The following is a 26,296-nucleotide window of genomic DNA, read 5'->3' on the forward strand; positions in this document are numbered from 1 at the left end:
AAAAGACCTACTCTCTCTGCTGTCAATGGTATTAGGTCTAGATGGTTTTATAGGTGAATTTCATGAAGTCATCATTGATTCCTCACTTTCTCTCACATTCATTCCATCAGCTCAGACATACAACTTTTCCATCATCACAGAAAGGCAGCAAGTTCTACTGGGCAGTGCTATTTTTATACTTAGAAAAGTCATACTACTTTAAGATTTATTTTTATATTATGAGGGAATAAGGGCTGCTTGGCCTTTCATTTGTAGCCCAAGAGACCAACTACCAAGGTGTTATATTTTTCTCTTGCCCAGAAAGATGGAATGGATTTAGCTGGAGAAAGTATGGCTGCTTATGATGAGGGAGAAAGGGAACAGGTGTTAGAGCTGGATAATTCAGGTTCAAATAGTGGTTGATTCCATCACTTGCTGGTCAGTGACTTTGGCCCTCCATCTTTCTTTCCTCTATCATGTCTTTCTTTTTGGCAGTAAAGCAGATGGAAGCCATGTAAAGAGCTTAAGTGGACGACAAATAAATGACGACTGAATTCAAGCACAGTGCTTAGCATATGTCAGATGCTATTTACTCCTTTCTGTCATTTTTACTTGTGTAATGAAAAATAACTGTCCCCCCTTTCATCTCCTTTTTGTGCTTTGTGACAAGTTTTGGAAGTGTTCCCTAGCAAATTGCCCCCCAAAATGGATTCACTCAACTCTGGTCTAAAATGTAACATTGGAAGACTTGATGCCAAAGCCCAAATAGCTTGGGGCTCCACCAGATATGAGATGAGACCTTCCACATATGGAAGAAACATTTCTCTGGCTCAGCAACCAGGTGCCAATGGGGAGGGAAGTAGAGCTGTAGGTGGCCCAGGATCCGCAGTTGGCTGAGCAGTTAGCTGCATTTCTGTGTGGAGGAGAGGTGGGTACAGATTTCAGGTCAAGGGTCACAGGGTTCAAATTCCTCACTCCCTTGGGGTTCCTGTCTACTCACCTCTTTATTCAAGTCTTGGATGACTTGCTGGCTGGTGTTGTATTTGTTGAGAGAGGATTCCAGTTGTGTAGAACAACACTGTAGCTCTGCTCGGAGATTCTCATTTTCTTCCTCCAACTTTCTGGAATTCTCTTTCAACTGTTCCCTCATTAAAGAACAAAGCACAGCAAAGAGGTGTTAATCTCAGATAACTATAAAAGCCCCACTCCACCCTCCCTCTCACCCAGCTCTATCTCCACCCTGCGGGAGCTCAGGCATTCTCGCTCCCCTCCTCGCTGGCCTTTCCCACTGTCCCTCCCGTCTTTCCTAAGCTCTGAGCATCCAGGGCCTCCGCATCCCTGGAGGCCCAGGTGGGGTCATGTCCCGCTCTGGATTCCTGACCCAGCTCTCCTGGGATTCTCCCACTCACCGTCTTGTCTTTCTTTTTAAATTCCTGCCGCAAAGCTTCAAGTTCTCCCTCCATCAGCTTCTCATGCTCTTTGCTCTTCTTCAACTGCTCCCGTTTGTCCTCCAGAAGCTTTGTGGCCTCCTGAAGATCTTCTTCTAACTTGCATTTGATGGAGCCTTGCTCCCTGTGCTGAAAAAATAAAGACTGAGCTGAAAGACTGTCTTAGACTATATTATATTTGGGGGAAAAATACAGACAATTGCACACAGGGCATGGCTGAGATGAAGAAGAAGACAATTCCTTAGTTATATAGCATATGTAAAATAAAAGGTTTCCTCCAACGCCTGTAACATTTTTTCTTTGTTCAGTCAGATATACCAATTTATTTTATTTATTGATCTAATTCCTAAGCACCAGCTTTCTCTCCCACTTTCTTACCAATTCTTCCCAAAGATTAGGAAGATTCCAAATCTTTATCAAAAACCTTTTTGAATGAAGTTTAAAAAATCTTAGAAGAGAACAAAAAGAGTAACTCAGAGATCAAAGACTTTAAATTGACTGACAATTATCTCCTACTGCTGGGCACTATTTAAAAAATAAATAAATTGATAAGAATAGCTTTTGAATCCTAGAAAGAACAACATTGTCATTTGATTAATTTTAAGGTTAACCATTGAAAATGCTTCTTACTGGTAATGGGAGCTGGTGCTGAGTGGCTGGCTTAGCATACTAACACAATTCTGGTCAATTAATTTGCATGGATTGGTGGTGATATCTTTCCCAAATAATGACTGATATGTTTAATCTTTTTCTTTTTTTTGAGACAGGGTCTCACTCTGTCACCTAGGCTGTACTGCAGTGGTGCGATCACAGCTCACTGAAGCCTCAATCTCCCAGCCTCAAGGGATCCTCCCACCTCATCCTCCCAAGTAGCTGGGACTACAGGAATGTGCCATTATGCCCTGATAATGTTTGTATTTTTTTTTTTTTTTGTAAGGCAGGGTCTTGCTATGTTGCCTAGGCTGGTCTGGAACCCCTGGGCTCAAGTGATCTGCCTGCCTTGGCCTCGCAAAGAGCTGAGATTACAGGTGTGAGCCACTGCTCCTAGTCTGTGTTTTATCTTAAGCAGAGCAAGCACTTGAATGGGCCATCTGCCTGCCCGTCATACCTGGTGCTTGATACGATCAAGCATGTCATTCATTTTCATATCCTGCTCAGCCACTGTCTTCTGAAGCTGCCTCTTTTCCTTGTCTGAATTTTCAAGCTTCCTCAGGGCTTCAGAGAGTTCTAATGACAGCTCCTCCACCCGTTTTCTAAAGCAAAATAACAGCCACAGGAGGACAGACTTCAGTGCCCATGTGGGCAGATTGTGGAGCTGACCCAATGGGAAATCCTTGCTCTCCCACGCCTGGGCAGCTGCCCACAGAGGGCCCGGCTGGGTCAAGAGTGACAGAACCTCTCTCTGGAGGGGAGCCTGAGCCTGGGCACCTGTTGGAGGTTTGTTCCTTCTCAGCCATCGAGGACTCCTTCTGCAGCATCTGAAGTTCTCTCTGTAGTTCCTGGATGGTGTCTGCCTTCTGCTTGTCCAGGAGGAGACCCTTCTGCAGTTTCCTCTGGGTGTCCTCCAGGTGACAGCCTGCCAGTGCAGCCTCTTCTTTGCACTGGGCTGCTTGCTGAGCTGCAGAAGCAGGGAGATGGCCATGTGAGAAGGGAGGGTGTATGAAGATCACACTCTTATCAGCCTGGCTGAAGAGTTTTTCCTTTCATTTTGTGCCCTACTTCAGTTCCCAGTCTGTCCTCATTTCTCTCCATTTCATGATCAGTCCTAAAGAGCTCTATTAAATTATCTGTCTTTGTCTCAGATGTGGACACCTTCTGGACTAAAATTAAACAAACTGGTAGAAATTTCTCAGCAACTCCTGTGCGACTCATTCTGTCACTGGGGACAAATCCTGACCCTTCTGGAGTTTAGAGGCTCCTGAGGGAGGCTTACTGGCCCACCGTCCTAGAGAACACTGTCATGTTAAACTCGCACCAACTAGGCTCAGGAAGAGAGATCCACATGGGTTAGAACGCTTGGAGATGGATGAGTGGAGGAACAGAAGCTGAGATGTAGAAAAAGAAGTGGGAGGAAGGGAATTCCAGGGGCGGGGATTGTTAGAGCAGATGCCTGGTGAGGAGAATGCGGAAGGTGTGTGGGAGGAGGGTAGAAGACACCAGTTTGACTGGAAAGGGAAGTGGGGAGGAATGGTGGGCGATAGAGTTGAGTAAGTGGATGGATGAGTGGGGCTTTGGAGGACTTTGGAAGCCTAAGAGAAATGCTTAGATGTGGTTTAGTGGGTTCTTGAGCAGGAATCTGACATAAAAGAAAAACTGCTTCAGGAAAATTGGAATACATTAGAATAGAGAAAAACTTCCAGCAATATCCTTCTAGCCCACGCCTTTGCCTCCACTGGGTATGAGGGGAAGGCAGCTACAAAGTTAGAGCTGGGGCTTGAAGTCTTGGAGTTACCTGTAGAGAAAGGGAGCTACACAGAGGAGGGAGCTCACTGAGGAACGAGTAAGAAGGGGAGGAGAGTCTCTAGATGACTACAGTCAGAGCAGGAGAGAAAAGAGAACAATGGGGAGGTTTGTGGGAGAAAGACGGACCCGTGATGTCTCCAAAGCTGAGAAACAAACTTTGAGGCATAAGTAGCCAACAGCATCAAGGAACACAGCATTAAAGGAGGGTGAGGAAGGAAGCCAAGCTTGGATCTTATCTTATAAATTGATAAGTAATTCATATAACATAAATTTAGCCCCTCCACCCCACTTTTTATGAGACAGAGTCTCACTCTATTGCCCAGTCTGGAGTGCACTGGCGTAATCTCAGCTCACTGCAACCTTGACCTCTCAGGCTCAAGTGATCCTCCCACCTCAGCCTCCCAAGTAGCTGGGACTACAGGTGCCCACCACCATGCCTGGCTAATTTTTGTATGTTTTGTAGAGACAAAGTTTTGCCATGTTGCCCAGGCTGTCTTGAACTCCTGGGCTCAAGTGATCCGCCCACCTTGGCCTCCAAAAGTGCTGGGATTATAGGCCTGAGCCACCGTGCCTGGGAAATTCACCCTTTAAAAGTATACAATTCAGTAGTTTTTTGGATAATCACAAAGTCACGCAACCATCACCAATATTTAATTCCAGAGCATTTTCATCACCCCCAGAGAAACCCTGTACCCAAGGAAGAAGCTATTGGTGACCTCTGAGAAAGCAGGCTCTGTGGAGGGACAAGGACATCATCCACAGTGCAAGCTGCACAGAAGAGAAATGTATTTGGGGGCAAAAAGGCGAAAGGGAATAAAAAGCCAGGGAAGGGTGAAGTGAATTGTGTGATGAGGGCCTGAAGAAGATGGAGAGGATTGTGGTGCAAAGGACAGAGCCCTGCCTCCCTGTGGCCAGGAAGGGCCAGGGTCTTCAGGCAAGACTGCTGGGAGAATGGTGGGTGGGTGACTACAGAGGGCAGGTGAGCTTGGGAGTGGGTGAAGGAATTCAAGAGGGCGGTGGCCACTGCTGTGAGGTATAGGATGAGGCCCTGAGAAGGTCTGCAGTGAGACACTGGAGGAGGGCGAGGGGAAGTGGCCACTGGGAGAGAGAAGGTGGCTGCTCTAGGGCTGCTCTAGCCCCACAGAAAAGTGTGGTGGGACAGCACCTGCAGGGGCCTCACCAGCCAGCCTCTCCTGCTGCTTGGCCTCTTCGAGACTGTTCTTCAGCTTCTGGACCTCAGCCTGCAGGGCCTTGCACTCCGCCTCCTTGGACTTGTCCTGCTTAGCCTCCTTGACTGTCATTTCAAGTTCTGTGGCCATGCACTGCTGCTTCTCCAGCTCCTTCTCCTTTTTCAGGAGGCTGTTCTGAACCTGTGTCAGTTTCTTCTCCAGCTCTTGCAGCATCTCATCTTTCTCTTGGAGGAACTGAAGACAGCAAAATGCAAATGCTGGGAAAGGTCTGAGTGGCAGTGGGTGAAGGCAATGAGAGGTTGTCTCAAGCCCTCATCCAAGCCACTGGCATCCCCTGCCTGGACATTGCACGAACCTCCCTGCCTCCACTCCTGTTCCCCTCAGGCTATTCTCCACGCAGTTGAGAGAGGGAGTCTTTATAATTATTATTATTGTTATTGTTTTTGAGACAGAGTCTCTCTCTGTCGCCCAGGCTGGAGTGCAATAGCATGATCTTGGCTCACTGCAATCTCCCATGTTCAAGCCATTTTCCTGCCTCAGCCTCCCAAGTAGTTGGGATTACAGGTGTCCACCACCACGCCTGGCTAATATTTGTATTTTTATTAGAGACGGGGTTTCACCATGTTGGCCCGGCTGGTCTCAAACTCCTGACTTCAAGTAATCCACCTGCCTCAGCCTCCCGAAGTGTTGGGATTACAGGTCTGAGCCACCGTACCCAGCCGTTTATTATCTTAGTTTAGTTTTACTTTTTGAGGCACTCTCACTCTGTTGCTCAGGCTGGAGTGCAGTGGCACGATCGTAGCTCAATGCAGCTATAACCTCCTAGGCTCAAGCGATCCTCCCACCTCAGTCTCCCTGTTACAGCAGGTAGCTAGTCAGGTGTGAGCAGGGCAGGAGAGGGCTCCCCTGCCACATACACCAGGGTTGTCGGGCGACCATCAGGTGATGGTCAGGAGGTTGTTAATTGTCACTTTAAGTAATAATTGGTCACGGCCATGCCAGGGAAAGGCAGGGTCCTAATAGATAGAAAACACCTGAAACTGGTGATCAGCAGACTCCTGGGTAAGGTCTCAGGAGTTGGGAGAGTGGTGAGAAGTAATGCAGGACCCCGGAAGTATGCAGGCCGAGGCAGGTGGATCACTTGAAGTCAGGAGTTAGAGACTAGCTTGGCCAACATGGTGAAACACCATCTCTACTAAAAATACAAATGTTAGCCAGGCATGGTGGCAGGCACCTGTAATCCCAACTACTTGGGAGGCTGAGGCAGGAGAATCGCTTGAACCTGGGAGGTTGCAGTAAGAAAACCCCAATCAAGAGGTCAAATGGCACATTTGGTCTCTCAAGTCGCCTGCTTGGCCCTCTTCCAAGTATATTTTCCCTCCTTTCATTACTGCTCTAAGGCTTTTAAAAAATGTTCACTCCTGCCTGCTCTGAAACTTGCCTCAGTCTCTCCTTCTGCCTTCTGCCCCTCAGTCAAATTCTTTCTTCTGAGGAGGCAAGATCTGAGGTTGCTACAGACCCATATGGATAACTACCACTGCTAACATCCTGAGTAGCTGGGACTGCAGGGGTGTGCCACCACACTCAGCTAGTTTAAACATTTTTTTGCAGAGATGGGGTCTTGCCATGTTGCCCAGGCTGGTCTCAGACTCCTGGGCTCAAGTGATCCTCCTACCTTGGCCTCCCAAAGTTCTGAGATCACAGGCATGAGCCACTGCGCCCAGCTAGAGAGGGGGATCTTAAAAGTGCAAGTCAGATCTTTTGCCTCAGCTCAAAACCCTCCACTGGCTTCCATCTCTTAGAAAAAGGAGGGAGTCCTTACAAGCACCCCATGGTCTGGTCCTAGGCTACCTGTCTGACCTCACCCCTTGCCACCCTCACAACTCTCTGCCTCTGCTGAGCTCCTGGAACACTCCAAGCAGACCCCACCTCAGTGCCTTTGCACTTGCTATTCCCTCTGCCTGGAATATTCTTCCTCCAGACCTCTGCCTGGGTGGCTCCCTCACTTCATTCAAATCTCTGCCCAAATGTCACCCTATCAGAGAGGACTTCTCTGATCACCCTGTGTACAACCGCCATCAAGCTGTTGGAGGGATTTATCAGTGTCTGATGTGGGTATATCAGTATTATATATTAATTTTGTTTACCGGCTGTCTCCCTACACAGGAGTGCAAGCTCTATGACAAGAGGCATGTTGCAGGTTTTGTGATATTCTTAGTGACTAGGACGGTGCTTGGCATATTTTAGGGCTCAAAAATATTTGTGGAGTGAATATACGAATAACTCAAAACTGTTTACGCAGACTCCGTGCCTTGTCATCATCTCTCCAAATACCTCTGTTTTGACGGGCATATCTCCTCTGTGCCTTGAAACAGGAGGTTTTCATGACCAGCCAGTCTATCAACTGGATGATGATGATGATTATTATTATTATTTGAGACAGAGTTTCGCTCTTGTTGCCCAGGCTGGAGTGCAGTGGTGCAATCTTGGCTCATTGCAACCTCCCCTCCCGGCTTCAAGCCATTCTCCTGCCTCAGCCTCCCAAGTAGCTGGGATTACAGCTGTGCACCACCATGCCTGGCTAATTTTGTGTGTGTGTGTGTTTTTTTTTTTTTTTTTTTGTTGTTGTTGTTTTTTTAAGTAGAGACGGGGTTTCACCCTGTTGGTCAGGCTGGTCTTGAACTCCTGACCTCAAGTGATCCACCCACCTCGGCCTCCCAAAGTGCTGGGATTACAAGCGTGGGCCACCGCACCCGGCCGTCAGCTGGATTATTTTTAATAGCTCTGACGGAAGTTCAGAGTCGGAATAGTACTGATTAAAAAAGCTTGCATTGGTTTCACCACCTTTCTGTTCTTGGTTCCATTTCTAGGCTTTTCCAAGAATTTGATTTATGTTGGCAGTAACAGTTCTTTTAGGGCACAGCTCCATTAATATTTTCAAACTGCCTATTTACATATTCATAAGATATTTTTAATTTTTCTGTTTTTTTTTTTTTTTTTTTTTTTTGAGACAGGGTCTCATTCTAGTGTCCAGGCTGGAGTGCATGGCATGATCACGACTCACTGCAACCTCCACCTCCTGGGCTCAAGGGGCTCATGTGATCCTGTGACTTGAGCCTCCCAAGTAGCTGGGACTACAGGCGCACACCACCATGCCCAGATAATTTTTGTATTTTTTGTAGAGACGGGGTTTCATCATGTTACCCAGGCTGGTCTCAAACTCCTGGGCTCAAGAGATCTCCCCACCTTGGCCTCTTAAAGTGCTGGGATTACAGGCTTGAGCCACCATGCCCAGGCAGATATTTGTAATTTTAAAAGTGAAATTCACTTGAAATTCTTAGTAAGGCTACCTGTTATTTTATATCATTTCCTTCCACTATCAAGCATAAGAAGAGTATAAGGGAACAATGCAAGTAAGTGTGTCACAAATGCTCTTGCTACCTTGCGGGGCTTGGGAAAAGTCAGTGCCTCTGTTTTGGTCCCTGCATAATCAGATTCATTTATTATGTATGATGAGAAATACCAAAGAAGTGCTTAGAATTGAGCCTGGGCCTGAAGAGCCACCATCTCACTGTGCTTGTGTTGAGGCTCCCAAAGCAATAATGGTGGGTGAAGGCAGAACCGGTTAATGCCAGGACATGGCCTCACACCTGCCCCATTGGGAACCCCAACCAGAGTTCCTCACTTTACCTTGTCTTTCTTCAAAGTGAGCTTTTGGGTCTCGGTGAACTCCAGCTGCAGCTCCTGCAGCCGGCACTGCAGGATGGTGATGTCCTTATCCTTCCTCTCAATGTGGGCAGATGTCTCCTCCCGCAGTCCGTGCAGGTCCAGCTCCAGCTTCATCATGTCTACCATGGGGCGGGACAGAGTCTATGCTCAGGGGAGAGTTAGGCTTCCTTCTGGCTCCCCTGCCACAGCCTGCAGCCCCAGTTTACCCTTCATGATGTTTCTCTTCTGTTCCGACACGGCCTCTAGTTCCACGCGCAGATCCTTCACCAGGTTCTGGTACTCCTCCACATGCAGGCACTGGCTGTCTTTCTGCTCCTGCAAGTGCTTCAGTATCTGGCAGATGGAAGAACAGGGCAGGATGAGGAGATGAGAGACAATGGAGAGTGCTTTCTAAAATGCCCAGCATCCACAGTCAACAGTAAGTAGGGACAAAGTAGCAGAGTAATGGCTGCTGGGGGCCAGGGGATGGGTGTGCGGAGTGACTGCTAATGGGTACAGGGTTTCTTCTGGGGTGACACAAATGTTCTGGAATTAGGTAGTGGTGATGATTGCCCAACCTTGTGAATATACTAAAAACCAATGGTGAATTTTATAATTTGTCCATTGTCTCCCAATGAAATTTTTTTAAAAAAGAGAATAAAACAAAAGGATATTGCAGACTTCTCAGGCTCACACGGAATACACATAAAAGCAGCCATCCCTGTATCCCTTCCTCCCTGAGACAGACAGTTGTTTATGGAGAATCTACTGTGTGCCCGGCACTGTCCTGGGTGCTGGGCATGGCTCCATTAATATTTTCAAAGCAAATAATGTGGAGCAAAAGACACAGACAAATCCTTGTCCCCACAGAGCTGACCTAGTGGGGTGAGATGAAGAGCATAATAAGTAGTGACTTATAGAAAATGTTAACAGTGGATAAGTGCTATGGGGGAAACAGAAGAGCGAAGGGGAATGGAGGGGCATGGGCGGGGGAGGCGCATGTTGCAATTTTAAGTAGGAGGATGGGCTGGCCTCCCTGCGAAGGTGGCCTCCCAGCTGAGACTTGCTGGAGGTGAGCTTTCAGGCGGGGAGACCAGCCAGAGACAACGCTTGTGGTGGGAACATGGAGGAGGCAAGTGCGGCTGGCACGGAGCAGGCAATGGGGAGAGCTGGAGGAGACGAGGTGAGGAGCTGGGTGGTCACATCACCTGGGGCTTGGGGTCCTTCTGCAAGACCATTGGCTTCTACCCTGAAGGAGAGGGGATGCCTTCCTCACCAAGAGAAGGCAGGAACATGTGGCTGGGGAGGAGCAATTCGTTGCCTGGCATCGGGGATATTGGGGAGAGTTATTTGTGTGATTTCAGAGCTGCTAGGAGGGAGGGCAGCAGCAGGAAGCCAGGAGGTGACAGCTGGAGAGATTCAGGGCAGCCACTGCAGGACCCAGGAGTGGGCACTGCAGGGACTCAAAGCCCCACACTGTGCCACACTTGCCGAGGGGAGGAGAGGCCTGCTGGAAAAAGCTGGCGTGGGTCTCTCATTCCTAATGGAGCCCCAGGGAGCGTGAGGGCTTTGGAAAGGAAACATAATGCGGTGGGGGAAGGTGTATTCTGCTTCTTGGGGAAGTTTGTATCACTAAAAAAATGGAGTCTTATGAGATTTTTGCTCTAGGTCAGGATGTGAATAACATGGAACTGATCTTTAAAATAAATATTGACAGATGTCCAAGGAAGAACTACAAAGTTCAATATTGATCCCTTGTTCAACCAACTTTCTGGGATTGGAAAGTCCTGGAAAGAGGAGCATCTCCTCCTCCCCGACTAGAGAACCCCTTGGGGAGCTGACATGTGTTGTTTACTCCCTCTGCCACCCCGCTTCGCCCCCATTTCAGCATCAGTCTTGGGGCGTGCAGGCATGCCAGCACCTGCCCAGCATGGCCTCCTGTGGCTGGCTTTGCCAGGTACCAAGTTCAGTCATGGCTGACTTAACAGGACCTCACCTAAGAGGACACCTGGCCATGTTTTAACTCCTGGTTCATCAACTTTTATTTATTTATTTATTTATTTTATTTGAGATGGAGTCTCATTCTGTGGCCCAGGCTGGAGTGCAGTGGTGTGATCTCAGATCACTGCAAGCTCGACCTCCTGGGTTGAAGTGATTCTCCTGCCTCAGCCTCCTTAGTAGCTGGGACTACAGGTACCCACCACCACACCTGGCTAATTTTCGTATTTTTAGTAGAGATGGAGTTTCACCAAGTTGGCCAGGTGGGTCTCTAACTCCTGACCTCAAGTGATCTGCTCACCTTGGCCTCCCAAAGTTCTGGGGTTACTGGCATGAGCCACCACACCTGGCCACTCAATTCTTGCTATTTGTTTACATGGTTTAACTGCTCATTTATTATTAGAATCAACTTTTGATACTGCTTTGAATTTTGCAAACACAGAGTTCTCAAAAAAAAAAAAAAAAGCAGGGGGAATAAATTTGGATTAATAATCTTTCCTAAATTAGTACTTTTCAACTCCAGCCAGACACGAGGAGGCTAGATGGTCCTTTTGAATGTAGCAAGGCAACAGAAATATTGTCTTGTTTAGGTGTACTGTTAGAAGTGGGTTAAGAGACAGGTGCAGTTCCAAAATTGAATGCTGCCTGTCTTTTGGGTTTGGCATACATTATACACAGTATCCTTGTGGCAGGGCCAACCAAGCTCACACAGATATAAAATAAAATATAAATTGTCATATAAAAATAAAAAATAAGTAGGAAAGCCCAGAATCAAACCCAGCTCAGCCCGATCCCAGTAGGCACAGATCAGCAAATTTCTCCCACCTTTTTGATGTCTTCACACTCTTCTGAGGAGCTAGGAGGGTATCTGTGGGTGGCTGTACAGGAAGCAAAATCGGCTTGTAGTTTTATCAAAGCCTTTTCACGCTCCAGAACCTGCAAATAAGCTTAGATCAGTTATGCTGGATGATCAATGGAACGTGCTTGTTACCATGACTATTATTTCAGAGTGTTCCTTTCTGCAGCATAAGTTTGTTGCAGAATTATACAATTCATCAGGCATTCCCTGTGGGGTAGGTAGGGAGAAGGAATTAAGCTCCCCATCTTACATCAAGATTCTCTAAGGCATATGTGATCTGTCTCAAGTTCATCAATGCCCACCCTTGCACTCTCTCCTAAACCTCCGTTTGGTCCATTTGATGAGGCAGAAGAAGGTTCTTCAGGGGCTGTGATGGAGAGATATACCTAATCTATCAGAGGACAGGATACAAAGTTTGAGAATTAAAGAAGGAAGTTCCTTATGGAGTGTGTAATTGTGTGTGTAATTTTTTTTTGAAAAATAAAAAACATGAAATTTTGGTTTTAATTTTATGCTTTTTTGAATTTGTTGAAAATAATTCAAATAAGACCTGAGCATGGAAAAGTGAAACCCCCTCTTCACTTATTCTCCCTTCTCTCACTTCCACTAAGGGAGAGGACAGTATTGAAAATTCAGTTTGTACTTATATATTAGTATTATCATTAGAGATAAAACAAAAGTTGGACTGAACTATACATGGAATTCTGCAACTTATTCTTGACGATAAGTCACAAAGCGCCTTCCATGCAGCTCTTACAGATGTGCTTAGTCCTTTTTACTGGCTGCATATTATTCCACAGTAGGGATATCTCTTCAATTATTTCTCTTAATCTCTTTAACCATTTCCCCACTGATGGGCAGTTAGGTTGTTGTGTGAGAGATTTTAAGATTCTTTAGAATCTCACACTATTTGGGTGGGAAGAAGCATTACCATGGAGAATATGAACAAAGTTGGGGGGCAAGTATATATCAGACATTTGAGGATTCTCGGCGAAAAAGATTAATTTAGGTGACTCTTTTCCCCTCCTTTCTCTCCCCATGTCTTGATTGAGGGTCTCCCAGAGACATGTTCTAGAAGAAGGCACTTACCAAAGCGTTACTGCAGGCCAGCTTATTTCGAAGTTCTTGAATGAGATCATCCTGTTGAGAGACCTTTTGCCAGACTTCAGACAGTCGTTTCTGAGTCTCCTGATGCTCTTGAATCATGCAAGGAGAAGTGTATATCCGTACCTTTGAATGATCACCCTTGTTCTCAGGCTCCTGAGAGATTTAAAAATAATGGGTTGATTTTGCTTATAGTTTGTGAGTTACTTCAGAATTCCATGAACATGGAAAATCTCTAGACCTATATTCTAAAGGTATATGTTCATATATGGAAATCATGGTTTCCTTAACAAAACAAAAAATATTAACTAGTGCATATACATGTTAAAAAGTCCAAATGGTTCACAAGAGAAGACACTGAAAGATAAGTCTTCCTCCATCCTAACTATGACTCAGGTGTCCTTTTTGATGACAATCCATGTTACCAGCTTTTTGGATATCATTCAGGAATATTTTATGCATATTTGCATAAAAATCACTTTTTTTCTTACACAAATGAGTCTTTTTTTTTTTTTTTTTTTTTTTTGAGATGGAGTCTCACTCTGTCGCCCAGGCTGGAGTGCAGTGGCACTATCCTGGTTCACTGCAACCTCCGCCTTCCAGGTTCAAGCGATTCTCCTGCCTCAGCCCCCCAAATAGCTAGAATTACAGGCATGTGCCACCATGCCGGGCTAATTTTTTTGTATTTTTAGTAGAGACAGGGTTTCGCCACATTGGCCAGGCAGGTCTCAAACTGCTAACCTCAGGTGATTCACCCGCCTCAGTCTCCCAAAGTGCTGGGATTACAGGCATGAGCTACCACATCCGGTGGACAAATGAGTGTCTTATACAGTATTTAAACATTGTGTTTTCACTTGACAATTTATTTAAGATAGTTTTCATATTGTTACTTGTTGATCTATCTTACTCCTCTTTTAAAATTAATTTCAAATTACATAAGTAATTATATTTATATTGTCTCTCTAAAACATTGTAACACTACAGGCAGATCTGAATTTTTCTTTGACCGTCACTTCTAATTTCATTATCTCTCTACTTTCCAGAGATGACAGTCTGTGCATATTCTAGAACTTTATACTATATTTACATAATATAAATGAATCTGTACAATATAAATTATGTTGGCTTTTTAAAACATAAAAAATGTTTTTTTACTCAGCAAGATGAGTTAGAGATTTATCAATGCTAGTACATGTGCTTCTATCTTGTTCTTTTAAATTGCTTTTAAATGTGTTGATCTGGTTTCCTACTGATGAGAATATAGGTTGTTTCCATATTTTTTTTTTTCTGAAACAAAGCTGAAATGAATACTTTTGTACATAAATCTTTGAGTATTTATTCTGGTAATTGTGTACATTAAATTCATAGAAGTAGGACTCCCAGATCATATTTAAAATTGGATATTGTACTATTGTCCTTCAAAGAAATTAACACCTAACACTGTCATCAACATGAGTATGGCTATTTTCCTTGAACCATGTTTGTTTTAAATGTCTTTCCCTAGATCGTTTGAAATCATGCACGAAGGTTACTGCCCTCTTATTGGTTCACAATCATAAGGGGGTAAATTGATATACATCGTGAAAAAAAAAAAAAAAAGCAAAGCGTTCTAGTTTGGGTGGTAGATCCTTTCCCCATTAAACTTGTCTCTCTAACTGGGCTTTTTCAGGCAAAGTTAGGAATACTTCATGTTCAGTGAGCATGAAAGCCTTCTGTGAGCAAGCTGCAGGAAGGCCAGGCAGAAATCTAAAATTGACTGTAAATAATGTTCATGTAGATAATGCAGAGTCTACAGGGGCAAATGACTAGAAAACAAAACAGAAAAGCTAACAAGGAAGAAGATATCTACATATCTTCTTAATACTATGGGATGAAAAATGGAAACTAATTTAGAAGGAATAGGAGAAATATTCTCTGAAGTGAAGAAAAATGTAGATCTTCAGACTAAAAGGATTAGTGAAGTGTTGAATGGCTTAACACCCCAAGCCTAAAAACCTCCAGTGTTCAAAGAGATAAAATAGGTAAACTATGAAAAATGAGAAACACACTGACATCTAACAATGCATCTCTAATACTGTGGTACAAGGTGGTACAAAGAAATGCAGCAGTATCTTTGAAGACTTAAGGGAAGATGCTTTTGAAAGTTTGTATATCCAGCCAAACTAGCATTCAAGGATGATGACAAAATAAACCTTGCTCAGACATGGAAATATTGAGAAATTGTGCCACCCACAATTGTTTCTGAAAGAATTAAGAAGGAATTATTTACAGCAAAAGGAAAACTCCAAGAATGCAGAAGAGGTGAAGGGACTGCCGAGCATAGTAATGAGAAACAGCTGGGTTTATTTGTAATATTAAAGAAATAGATACTTCCTATATATACACAGTGGCAGAGATTTAAAAGAAGGTGAAAAGCTTTCCAGCTCATTATATTAGGATGGCATAATCCAGACACCAATATGCAAGGAAAGCACAAAAATTTAGGCCATCAAATTAATCTCATTTCTGAAAATAGATGAAAAAAAATTAACTTTTAACAAATTTAGTAAAGTTCATTAAAATTATTAATAATATATTATGATCAAATAGGGTTTATTCCAGGAACATAAACATTGTTCTATATATGAAAATCTATTCGTGTAATCTGCTTCATTGATGGATAGATGCTAATAAAAACATCTGATAAAATTCAACATTCATTCCTAATAACAATTCTTGATAAGCTAAATATAGACAGTCATACTTACAATTTGAGAAAGGATATTGAAAATAAGCCAAGAACAGGCATTATACTTAATAGTGAAATACTAGAATTACTTCCTTTAAAATGAGGAGCAAGGCAAAGAGGCTACAATTCCACTTTGCTCTAGAGATGCTGGTCAATACGATAAGATGGAAAATAAGTTGTGTAAATTTTGAAAGGGAAAGCAATTTAGGAAAATCCAAGACAGTCAAGTGAAAATCTGGTAAGAGAGCTCAGTAAGGTGGCAGGATAAGAGAGAAGTTTTCCTATACAACAGTAATAATACAATTAGGCCGGGCGTGGTGGCTTGCACCTGTAATCCCAGCACTTTGGGAGGCTGAGGTGGGAAGATCACTTGAGGTCAGGAGTTCAAGACCAGCCTGGCCAACATGGTGAAACCCTGTCTCTGCAAAAATAACAAAAATTAGCTGTCTGTGGTGGCACGTGCCTGTAGTCCCAGCTACTTGGAAGGCTGAGGCAGAAGAATTGCTTGAACCCAAGAGGCGGAGGTTGCAGTGAGCAGAGATTGCCTCACTGCACTCTAGACTGGGTGACAGAGTGAGACTCCATCTCAGAGACAAAAAAAATTGGCCGGGTGTGGTGGCTCATGCCTGTAATCCCAGCACTTTGGGAGGCCAAGGTAGGCAGATCACCTGAGGTCAGGAGTTCGAGGCCAGCCTGACCAACATGGAGAAACACTCCTCTCTACTAAAAGTACAAAATTAGCCAGGCCTGGTGGCACATGCCTGTAATCCCAGCTACTCGGGAGGCTGAGGCAGGAGAATCGCTTGAACCTGGGAGGCGGATGTTGCAGTGAGCCGAGATTGCACCATTGCACTCCAGCCTGGGCAACAAGAGCGAAACTCCATCTCAAAAAAAAAAATTAATAAAATTAAATGTATAAAAGATCCCATTTATAAAACCAATAACAACTGAAATATGTCCAGGAATAAACATAGCAAGAAATACGTGAGATCTACAGAGAAAAGTACAAAATCTTACTGAAGGACACACAAGAAAACTTGCATAAAAGTAAAAATATGTCATATTCCACAGGGCATGCTAATTTCCCCCAAATTAGTACATAATTTGAAAGTCAGTCAACATAAATCTAAATTTCATTAAGAAAAGAAATAAAAAAATGGCCAAGAAAAAATAGAAAGTGTAGAAGAGTGAAGGAGGACCTGTCCTAACAGGATCTATTAAAACAAGCTACCAGTTAAAGTCACTAAAAAACTCTGACACTGGCACACGAACTGGCAGAAAGATAAAAAAAATACCGAGTCCAGAGAAGGTCCCGTGTACAGAAGAATCGGTCTGTGAGCTGGTACCTGAACCAGTGTGGAAGGCTTGGGATGTTCAATAAATGGTTTTGAGGCCACTGGATATTTATTTAAATAATAAAATTCGAGCCTTATGTCATTATACATATAAAATATATATTCCAGATGGACTAAAGATAAAAACATAAAAATGCAAAATTATAAAAGTGCTAAAGAAAATATACAATAAACTTTTATAATCCTGAAGGTAGTGAAGGCCTTTCTAAGCAAGACATAAAACCTAGAATTTATAAAGGACTGACAGATTCAACTCCATAAAAATTAAAATCTTCTGGCATTACATAATGGTAAAGGGATCAATGCAACAAGAAGAGCTAACTATCCTAAATATATATGCACCCAATAGAGGAGCACCCAGATTCATAAAGCAAGTTCTTAGAGACCTACAAGGAGACTTAGACTCCCATACAATAATAGTGGGAGACTTTAACACTCCACTGTCAATATTAGACAGACCAATGAGACAGAAAATTAACAAGGACATCCAGGACTTGAACTCAGCTCTGCACCAAGCGGACCTAATAGACATCTACAGAACTCTCCACCCCAAATCAACAGAATATACATTCTTCTCAGCACCACATCACACTTATTCTAAAATTGATCACATAATTGGAAGTAAAACACTCCTCAGCAAATGTAGAAGAATAGAAATCACAACAAACTGTCTCTCAGACCACAGTGAAATCAAATTAGAACTCAGGATTAAGAAACTCACTCAAAACCGCACAACTGCATGGAAACTGAACAACCTGCTCCTGAATGACTACTGGGTAAGTAACGAAATGAAGGCAGAAATAAAGATGTTCTTTGAAACCAAGGAGAACAAAGACACAGCATACTGGAATCTCTGGGACACATTTAAAGCAGTGTGTAGAGGGAAATTTATAGCACTAAATCCCACAAGAGAAAGCAAGAAAGATCTGAAGTTGACACCCTAACATCACAATTAAAAGAACTAGAGAAGTAAGAGCAAACAAATTCAAAAGCTAGCAGAAGACAAGAAATAACTAAGATCAGAGTGAACTGAAGGAGATAGAGACACAAAAAAACCTTCAAAAAATCAATGAATCCAGGAGCTGGATTTTTGAAAAGATCAACAAAATAGATAGACTGCTAGCCAGACTAATAAAGAAGAAAAGAGAGAAGAATCAAATAGATGCAATAAAAAATGATAAGGGGGACATCACCACTGATTCCACAGAAATACAAACTACCATCAGAGAATACTATAAACATCTCTATGCAAATAAACTAGAAAATCTAGAAGAAATGGATAAATTCCTCGACACATACACCCTCCCAAAACTAAACCAGGAAGAAGTTGAATCTCTGAATAGACCAATAACAGGTTATGAAATTGAGGCAATAATTAATAGCCTGTCAACCAAAAAAGTTCAGGACCAGACGAATTCACAACTGAATTCTACAAGAGGTACAAAGAGGAGTTAGTACCATTCCTTCTGAAACTATTCCAATCAATAGAAAAAGAGGGAATCCTCCCTAACTCATTTTAAAAGGCCAGCATCATCCTGATACCAAAACAGAGACACAACAAAAAAAGAGAATTTTAGACCAATATCCCTGATGAACATTGATGCGAAAATCCTCAATAAAATACTGGCAAACCGAATCCAGCAGCACATCAAAAAGCTTATCTACCATGATCAAGTCGGCTTCATCTTTGGGATGCAAGGGTGGTTCAACACACGCAAATCAATAAACGTAATCCATCACATAAACAGAAGCAATGACAAAAACCACATGATTACCTCAATAGATGCAGAAAAGGCCTTTGACAAAATTCAACAGCGCTTCATGCTAAAATCTCTCAATAAACTAGGTATTGATGGGATGTATCTCAAAATAATAAGAGCTATTTATGACAAACCCATAGCCAATATCATACTGAAAGGGCAAAAACCGGAAGCATTCCCTTTGAAACCCAGCACAAGACAAGGATGCCCTCTCTCACCACTCCTATTCGTGTAGTATTGGAAGTTCTGGCCAGGGCAATCACGCAAGAGAAAGAAATAAAGGGTATACAATTAGGAAAAGAGGAAGTCAAATTGTCTCTGTTTGCAGATGACATGATGGTATATTTAGAAAACCCCATCGTCTCAGCCCCAAATCTCTTTAAGCTGATAAACAACTTCAGCAAAGTCTCAGGATACAAAATCAATGTGCAAAAATCACAAGCATTCCTATACATCATTAACAGACAAACAGAGAGCCAAATCATGAGTGAACTCCCATTCACAATTGCTATAAAGAGAATAAAATACCTAGGAATCCAACTTACAAGGGATGTGAAGGACCTCTTCAAGGAGAAATACAAACCACTGTTAAGGAAATAAAAGAGGACACAAACAAATGGAAGAACATTCCATGCTCATGGATAGGAAGAATCAATATCATGAAAATGGCCATACTGCCCAAAGTACTTTATAGATTCAATGCTATCCCCATAAAGCTACCACTGAGTTTCTTCACAGAATTGGAAAAAACTATTTTAAATTTTATATGGAACCAAAAAAGAGCCCGCATAGCCAAGACAATCCTAAGCAAAAAGAACAAAGCTGGAGGCATCATGCTGCCTGACTTCAAACTATATTACAAGGCTACAGTAACCAAAACAGCATGGTACTGGTACCAAAACAGATATATAGACCAATGGAACAGAACAGAGGCCTCAGAAATAACACCACACATCTACAACCCTCTAATCTTTGACAAACCTGACAAAAACAACCAATGGGGAAAGGATTCCCTATTTAATAAATGGTGCTGGGAAAACTGGCTAGCCATATGCAGAAAGCTGAAACTGGATCCCTTCCTTACACCTTATACAAAAATTAACTCAAGATGGATTAAAGACTTAAATGTAAGACCTAAAACCATATAAACCCTAGAAGAAAACCTAGGCAATACCGTTCAGGACATAGGCACGGGCAAAGACTTCATGACTAAAACACCAATAGCAATGGCAACTAAAGCCAAAATAGACAAATGGGATCTCATTAAACTAAAGAGCTTCTGCACAGCAAAAGAAACTATCAGAGGCGTGAACAGGCAACCTACGGATTGGGAGAAAATGTTTGCAATCTATCCATCTGACAAAGGGCTAATATCCAGAATCTACAAAGAACTTAAACAAATTTACAAGAAAAAAACAACCCCATCAAAAAATGGGCAAAGGATATGAACAGACACTTCTCAAAAGAAGACATTTATGCAGCCAAGAAAGATATGAAAAAAAGCTCATCATCACCGGTCATTAGAGAAGTGCAAGTCAAAACCACAATGAGATACCATCTCATGCCAGTTAGAATGGTGATCATTAAAAAGTCAGGAAACAACAGATACTGGAGAGGATGTAGAGAAATAGGAACACTTTTACACTGTTGGTGGGAGTGTAAATTAGTTCAACCATTGTGGAAGACAGGGTGGTGATTCCTCAAGGATCTAGAACTAGAAATGCCATTTGACCCAGCAATTCCATTACTGGGTATATACCCAAAGGATTATAAGTAATTCTATTATAAAGACACAGGCACACATATGTTTACTGCCACACTGTTCACAATAGCAAAGTCTTGGAACCAACCCAAATGCCCAGCAGTGTAGGCCGGATAAAGAAAATGTGGCACATATACACCATGGAATACTATGCAGCCATAAAAAAGGATGAGTTCATGTCCTTTGCAGGTACATGGATGAAACTGGAAACCATCATTCTCAGCAAAGTAACACAAGAAGAGAAAACCAAACACCGCATGTTCTCACTCATAAGTGGGAGTTGAACAATGAGAACACATGGATACGGGGCAGGGAACATCACACATGGGGGCCTGTCGGGGGGTGGGGGGCTGGAGGAGGGATAGCATTAGGAGAAATACCTAATGTAAATGACAAGTTGATAGGTGCAGCAAACCAACATGGCACATGTTTACCTATGTAACAAACCTGCACGTTGTGCACATGTACCCCAGAACTTAAAGTAGAATAATAAAAAATAAAAAAAATTAAAATATTTTGTATGGTGAAAAATACCACTAATAAAGTAAAATGAAAAGTTACAGACTGGGAGAAAATATTTGCCACATATGTAATGAAGCATTATTGCCTGTAATATATTAAGAAGCTCCTATACACCAATAGAAAAAAAGACTAAAAACCCAGTAAAAAATGAGTTAACAAGTAATTCATAAAACAGAAATCCATATGACCAATATGCTTATGAATAGTGCTCAATCCTTCATAAGTGTGGTGGAGACTGTGCTGGGCCTTCCAGATCCCCTTTGGCAATGAAGGACTTGTTGCCCTTTATGGGGATTGTGTAGGCTGAAGAAAACTGCTTTGCCCAAGGCCAAGCACCTCTCCCTATGGGGCCCACATCCCAGAACTGATGATGACATGGAGGCTTAAAGGCCAGCTCCCTTCCCTTCAATTTAGCAAGGCTCTGAAGGTTCATCCAGCTCTGTGGGGTTGGCTGAGGCCTTTGTTGAGACTACATCGCAGCTCGACTTCTTCCTTTGCCCAACCTTGCTTTCCGCTCCTTCCTTTCACTGGTGTTAATACCAAGAGCTCTCCCTAAAAACGTCCTGCACACTACTCTGTCTTAGAGTTGGCTTCCTGGGGAACCCAACCTGTGACTATTAGAACTAAGGTAATGAAAATTGTAACCAGTAAACGTTATCTCCCTACCCATCAGTGTTTAGCACAACTTTAAAAGAATGAAAACGTACAGTGTGGATGGGTGTGGGGAAATACGCTCTCTTAATTATTATTGGTAAAAGTGTAAACTGGTAGAACCTTTTTGGTATATAATTTAGAAGTATCTTTAAACAATAAAAATAAGCATATCCTTTGACCCAGCAATCACACTTCAAGAATTATCCAAAAGAAATAAGGAAGTTAATTACAGCTCGTTTGTAAAAAAGAGGAAAAAACAGGTCAATAGGTAGTACATCCCTACTACAGAATACAAGGTAGTAAGTAAAATAAATTGTCAAGATGTGCAGTTTAGGCTGGGCACGGTGGCTCACGCCTGTAATCCTAGCACTTTGGGAGGCTGAGGTGAGTGGATCACACGAGGTCAGGCATTCAAGACCAGCCTGGCTAACACGGCGAAACCATGTCTCTACTAAAAACACAAAAACTGGCCGGGCATGGTGGCGCGTGACTGTAGTCCCAGATACTCTGGAGGCTGAGTCAGGAGAATCACTTGAACCTGGGAGATGGAGGCCTCAGTGAGCCAAGATTGCACCACTATCTCAAAAAAAAAATGTGCATTTTGAAAGTAAGTTTTAAAACCACATTGATAACCACTTAGGTAAAAATAACCTCCTGCCCATTTATATATGTAACTGTATATAGCACAAGCCCCGAGAGGATTCTCAACACATGATTCAAGTAATTACCTAAGAAGAGGAGGAGAATGATGGGGAAGAGGTTGAAGGCAGACTTTCATATTTAATCTCCATACTTCTATCTAGAGAGCCTATAATAATCGTATTACTTGTGTAATTAAAAATAGCAGTTAAAGGAAAAAAGAAACAAATCAGGTGTTTCGACTTTTCTTTCCCATGTTTCACAGCTTTTTCCTCCTATTTGATCCTGAAGTTGTGGTTTGCATGAGTCCTGTGGCCTAGCAGAGCCCCCTGCCGGACCCCCATGAGAACTAAGAAAAGATTGGACATTGTTAGGGAGAGCTGTTGGTATTAACACCTGTGAAAGGAAGAGGGAGGAAGCAGGGTTGGGCAGAGGGAGATGAGCTGTGATGCAATCTCAACAAAGGCTCAGCCAACCCCACAGGGAACTGTGGGGCTGAAGCTTATTTGGTAATTCTCTTTTGGCGTTATTTGAAGTGGTGACTCTTTATGTTAATTAAAGAGCCTCAAAATTGTGAAGAAGTGATCTTATAGGATATGTGAAAGCTGGAGGTTCAAAAGCTGAGGGCTACAAAATCAAGGGCAGGAAGTGACATCTGGGTAAAGGTTTGGGTTTCCAGTGGAGGAGGCTGGGACTGTCTGAGGGGACCACCTGGGAGCACATCCACTTGCCTGGATTGAATGGCCTGACTTAAGTCCTACCTGACCCATGATCCCGCCGAGTTCCCCCTGCAACATCTTCACTTGGCATTCTAGTAACTCGATGTTGCTCAGGGAAGACTGGTATTTATCCCTGTAGAGGTTTAAGCTCCTCTCTAGAGAGGCGATCTTGTCCCCGGCCAAGGCGAGTTGCTCCTGCGCCAAATGGAGCTTCTCCCCTGTGTTCTCGTTGTGATTTCCCATTTCCTCCTCATAGAGAATCACCTGTAGGTGTAGGAATAAATCCACATTGAGCCCATGGAAGCACGTAATGAGGAAAGGATGCGGTTGTAAGATTCCCTGCAGAGAAGTCTTGTATCTGAACCAGAAGACCAGATGAACAGAAGAGAGGCTGCACAGATCTAAAAGCTACAGTATGTAATATCAAGATGCTAATGATTGGAAACAAAAAAAGGTGGCCCTAGTTAGAGGTAAGCTCCTTCAAGGCAGGATCATATCCATTTCCCATTCTGCCCAGCATGTGGCAGAAACTCAATGAATACTTGCTAGTTGATTAATAGGAATGAATTTGTATAGCTCTGTTTTTTAAGGGCTTGAAATGCTGGTATTTTTTCCTTCCCAGGCATTCTCTAGAGGTTGAACTTAGAAAATGCAGACTTCCTCCTGCACACAGGACTATGTCAGGAAAGTTCCCAAGAGATAGGTGGGGAACATGACCCAAAGTTCCTCTGGGATTTGCACAATCCTTGTTTAGATTTATTTTCTTCCTCATCAAGTAATTAGTCAACAAACTGACAGATATTTATTGAAAGCTCACGAGCATTGTGTTAAGTGCAGAGGGGATATATACATATTAGACATATGCTCACCCCTCAAAGAGTTTAAAACTTTCACAATCTTGGGGACATAAGATTTAAAATGAATAAACAGCTGTAGGTAGTTGAGTGTGCTAAATTGTATGGCTCGAATTTGATGTGTTGAAGGAGTTAACAGCAGAAGAGTCATGAAGGATGGCTTTATATTAGTTTAAATAATCCAATGTAGAATGCTGATAGAACATGTTCCATTAGTTTAAGCTCATTATACTTGCTGTCTGTCATTTGAGATTCTTCTTAGGAAAGGATAACTTTGTGTAAGGTGTCTACTACGTAAGGGGAAGAAGAGAGGAATATTTTATATCCAAATATTTGTAACCAAAGCTGTCAGTGGCCAGCCCATATCCCCTGGGCACTTGCTATTTCTTTGCAAGTTAACCCCATTCCCACTGCAAGCATATTCAACTCTGCCTGAGGGCTTCTCTAATACCAGGAGCCCATTCAACCAGAGAGGCAAGACAGGGTAGGTTAGAAGTGCTGGGGGGTTAACGCCCTCAGGAGCAGCCCTCAACCAATGACTGGGGGTATGTTGGTGGGTTCACTCTGAGGCATGTTCTACACTATCTCCCAGAGTTCCCCAGAGGGACCAAGCAAGCAATCTACTCAATACCAGTGTCCTTTATGGGCTTCCGGTCCTTCTTTGACTCACTTGCTCATGTGCATGCAGGAATCACCTCCGGAATTAGTTACTTGAATTTATATCCTTGTCTTAGGGTCTGCTGTTGAGTGAACCCAACCTTAGACAGATGTTTGATGAGGCTGTGCAACAAGACATTGGGGGAACTTGGCAGAATGTCTAAAATAATTCTCTCAATGCTTTCTCGGTTTGGGATCTTTGACAGTGACTGTTATTTGCCGAGTCCTGTATGTATTCTCCCGCTCTTCCTTACTAATAGAACCTTGACTCTACTGGGGGCAGCAATGCACCTCCTAAAACACCACATTTCCTAGGCTTCCTAGAAACTAGCTGTTGCCATGTGACTAATTCTGGCCAGGGATATTTAAGTGAAGGTGTTGTGGCTTCCGGAAAGTGTCCTTAAAAGGAAGGGAGTGTGCCTTTCCTTTCCACCCTTGTCACCTGGTCCTCTGCCCTTTTATCTGGATTATTTGGAACAAGGATGTGGCCTGGTATGGTGACTCATGCCTGTAACCCCAGCACTTTGGGAGGCCAAGATGGGCGGATCACCCGAGGTCAGGAGTTCAAGACCAGCCTGGCCAACATGGTGAAACCCCGTCTCTACTAAAAATACAAAAATTAGCCGGGTGTGGTGGTGCGTGCCTGTAATCCCAGCTACTCAGGAGGCTGTGGCAGGAGAGTCACTTGAACTTGGGAGGCGGAGGTTGCAGAGAGCCAAGATCGGGCCAATGCATCCCAGCCTGGGCGACAGATTGAGACTTCGTCTCAAAAAAAAAAAAAAAAAAAAAAAAGGATGTGACGGCTGAAGCTCCAGCAGGCACCTCAGGTGACTTAGAGAATGGAAGCCCTGAGCTGATGCTGGTGGAACCCAAGGATAGACCCTTAGACCTGATGACACACACAGTTGCCATAACAGCAACAGACCACCTGTCTCTGACCTTTTTAAATATGACACAGAAATCAACTAGCTTATTTATTTTCTGTTATATGCTGCTAAATAGAATCCCAACTCATTCAGGGTCACTTTATCCAGGCTGGACCCTTTTGTTTAAGTTGTAGTGAACCACTAAGTTTTAACACAGCCCTGCACTATCTTTTTAAAACTATGTGTATGTGCACAGGCTAAGTCATAGATTATATTTGTAGGATTAGAATAACCTTTCTCTGTTCCTCCCACTCTTAATTCTTTTGAGCAGATTTTCACTAGGTGACAATATTCCCTTTTTAAAAAGTCTATGGTCTGTAAGGTCCTACCTAAAGTCCTTGAAGTTAGTCCTTAAGCAACAGCACCATCCAAAACACTCTTTGAAATTTTTTTTTCTTCTCCGTCCTTCCAATAGAACCTAACTCCTTGAAATTTTATCTTTAAATCTAAAGAAAGAAAATGCCAGGGGAAACCCCAGGATGGAAGAGTACGTCTGTCCCATCATTTAGAACCCATGGTTTACTGCACCTAGTGCTATCACTGCTCAAGTGGTTTTAGTGCTGCAGCTTTGGGTTTTTGGAATTTACTTGGGATTCTAAAGGGGTGGTACTCTTCGGCTTAGAAAATACCACCCTGGAACATGAATGGGAATTAATGTCCTGAATATACCTAAGTGAAGCCTATATGATCTAAAACTCCAGTCTGAAAAAATTACCTGGTACTCTCAATGATTGACTCCCACTCAACATCTGGTTATCTTATCTAGTGTGCACGTGCCAGGAATTTATATATTATCAAGACCTTATTTTTCTAAAAATGGTGGATTTAATGGACCTTATACCTCTTTGATAACCCTCAGAGACCTACAGTCTTTTGCATTTACATTGCAATGGTAATAGAATGGAGAAGATGGACTTATACACACACACACACACACACACACACACACACACACACACATGCCTGCACAC

The 26,296-nt window shown here is 43.0% G+C and overlaps 1 protein-coding gene across 9 annotated transcripts in view, besides 3 other annotated features; it reads right to left on the reverse strand.

The window, feature by feature from the left end:
* Positions 1-26,296, reverse strand: part of PMFBP1 (polyamine modulated factor 1 binding protein 1) — a 133,293-nt gene that overhangs the window by 11,021 nt on the left and 95,976 nt on the right. For 6 of the 9 annotated variants that reach the window (XM_047434734.1, XM_011523361.4, XM_011523358.4 and 3 more), the window contains 10 exons: positions 22,931-23,152; positions 12,735-12,905; positions 11,612-11,722; positions 9,016-9,142; positions 8,771-8,928; positions 5,056-5,314; positions 2,856-3,045; positions 2,536-2,680; positions 1,389-1,556; positions 980-1,117 (listed from right to left, as the gene is read on the reverse strand). In XM_047434734.1, the coding sequence (XP_047290690.1) occupies positions 980-1,117; positions 1,389-1,556; positions 2,536-2,680; positions 2,856-3,045; positions 5,056-5,314; positions 8,771-8,928; positions 9,016-9,142; positions 11,612-11,722; positions 12,735-12,905; positions 22,931-23,152 (1,689 nt within the window). The remainder of the gene's footprint in view (positions 1-979; positions 1,118-1,388; positions 1,557-2,535; positions 2,681-2,855; positions 3,046-5,055; positions 5,315-8,770; positions 8,929-9,015; positions 9,143-11,611; positions 11,723-12,734; positions 12,906-22,930; positions 23,153-26,296) is intronic. The other 3 variants (NM_001160213.2, NM_031293.3, XM_047434735.1) reach the window with 2 other exon arrangements.
* Positions 717-1,517: an enhancer, noted in NCBI's record as "NANOG hESC enhancer chr16:72162293-72163093 (GRCh37/hg19 assembly coordinates)". NCBI's record gives its function as "activates a minimal SCP1, AML or CMV promoter by ChIP-STARR-seq in naive H9 embryonic stem cells {active_cell/tissue: H9 hESC(naive)}" and the evidence as "EXISTENCE:reporter gene assay evidence [ECO:0000049][PMID:30033119]".
* Positions 2,347-2,848: an enhancer, noted in NCBI's record as "H3K4me1 hESC enhancer chr16:72163923-72164424 (GRCh37/hg19 assembly coordinates)". NCBI's record gives its function as "activates a minimal SCP1, AML or CMV promoter by ChIP-STARR-seq in primed H9 embryonic stem cells {active_cell/tissue: H9 hESC(primed)}" and the evidence as "EXISTENCE:reporter gene assay evidence [ECO:0000049][PMID:30033119]".
* Positions 9,548-10,048: an enhancer, noted in NCBI's record as "H3K4me1 hESC enhancer chr16:72171124-72171624 (GRCh37/hg19 assembly coordinates)". NCBI's record gives its function as "activates a minimal SCP1, AML or CMV promoter by ChIP-STARR-seq in naive H9 embryonic stem cells {active_cell/tissue: H9 hESC(naive)}" and the evidence as "EXISTENCE:reporter gene assay evidence [ECO:0000049][PMID:30033119]".

The sequence above is a fragment of the Homo sapiens genome, chromosome 16 (genome assembly GCF_000001405.40).
Source record: "Homo sapiens chromosome 16, GRCh38.p14 Primary Assembly".
In the NCBI taxonomy this organism is placed as follows: domain Eukaryota; kingdom Metazoa; phylum Chordata; class Mammalia; order Primates; family Hominidae; genus Homo; species Homo sapiens.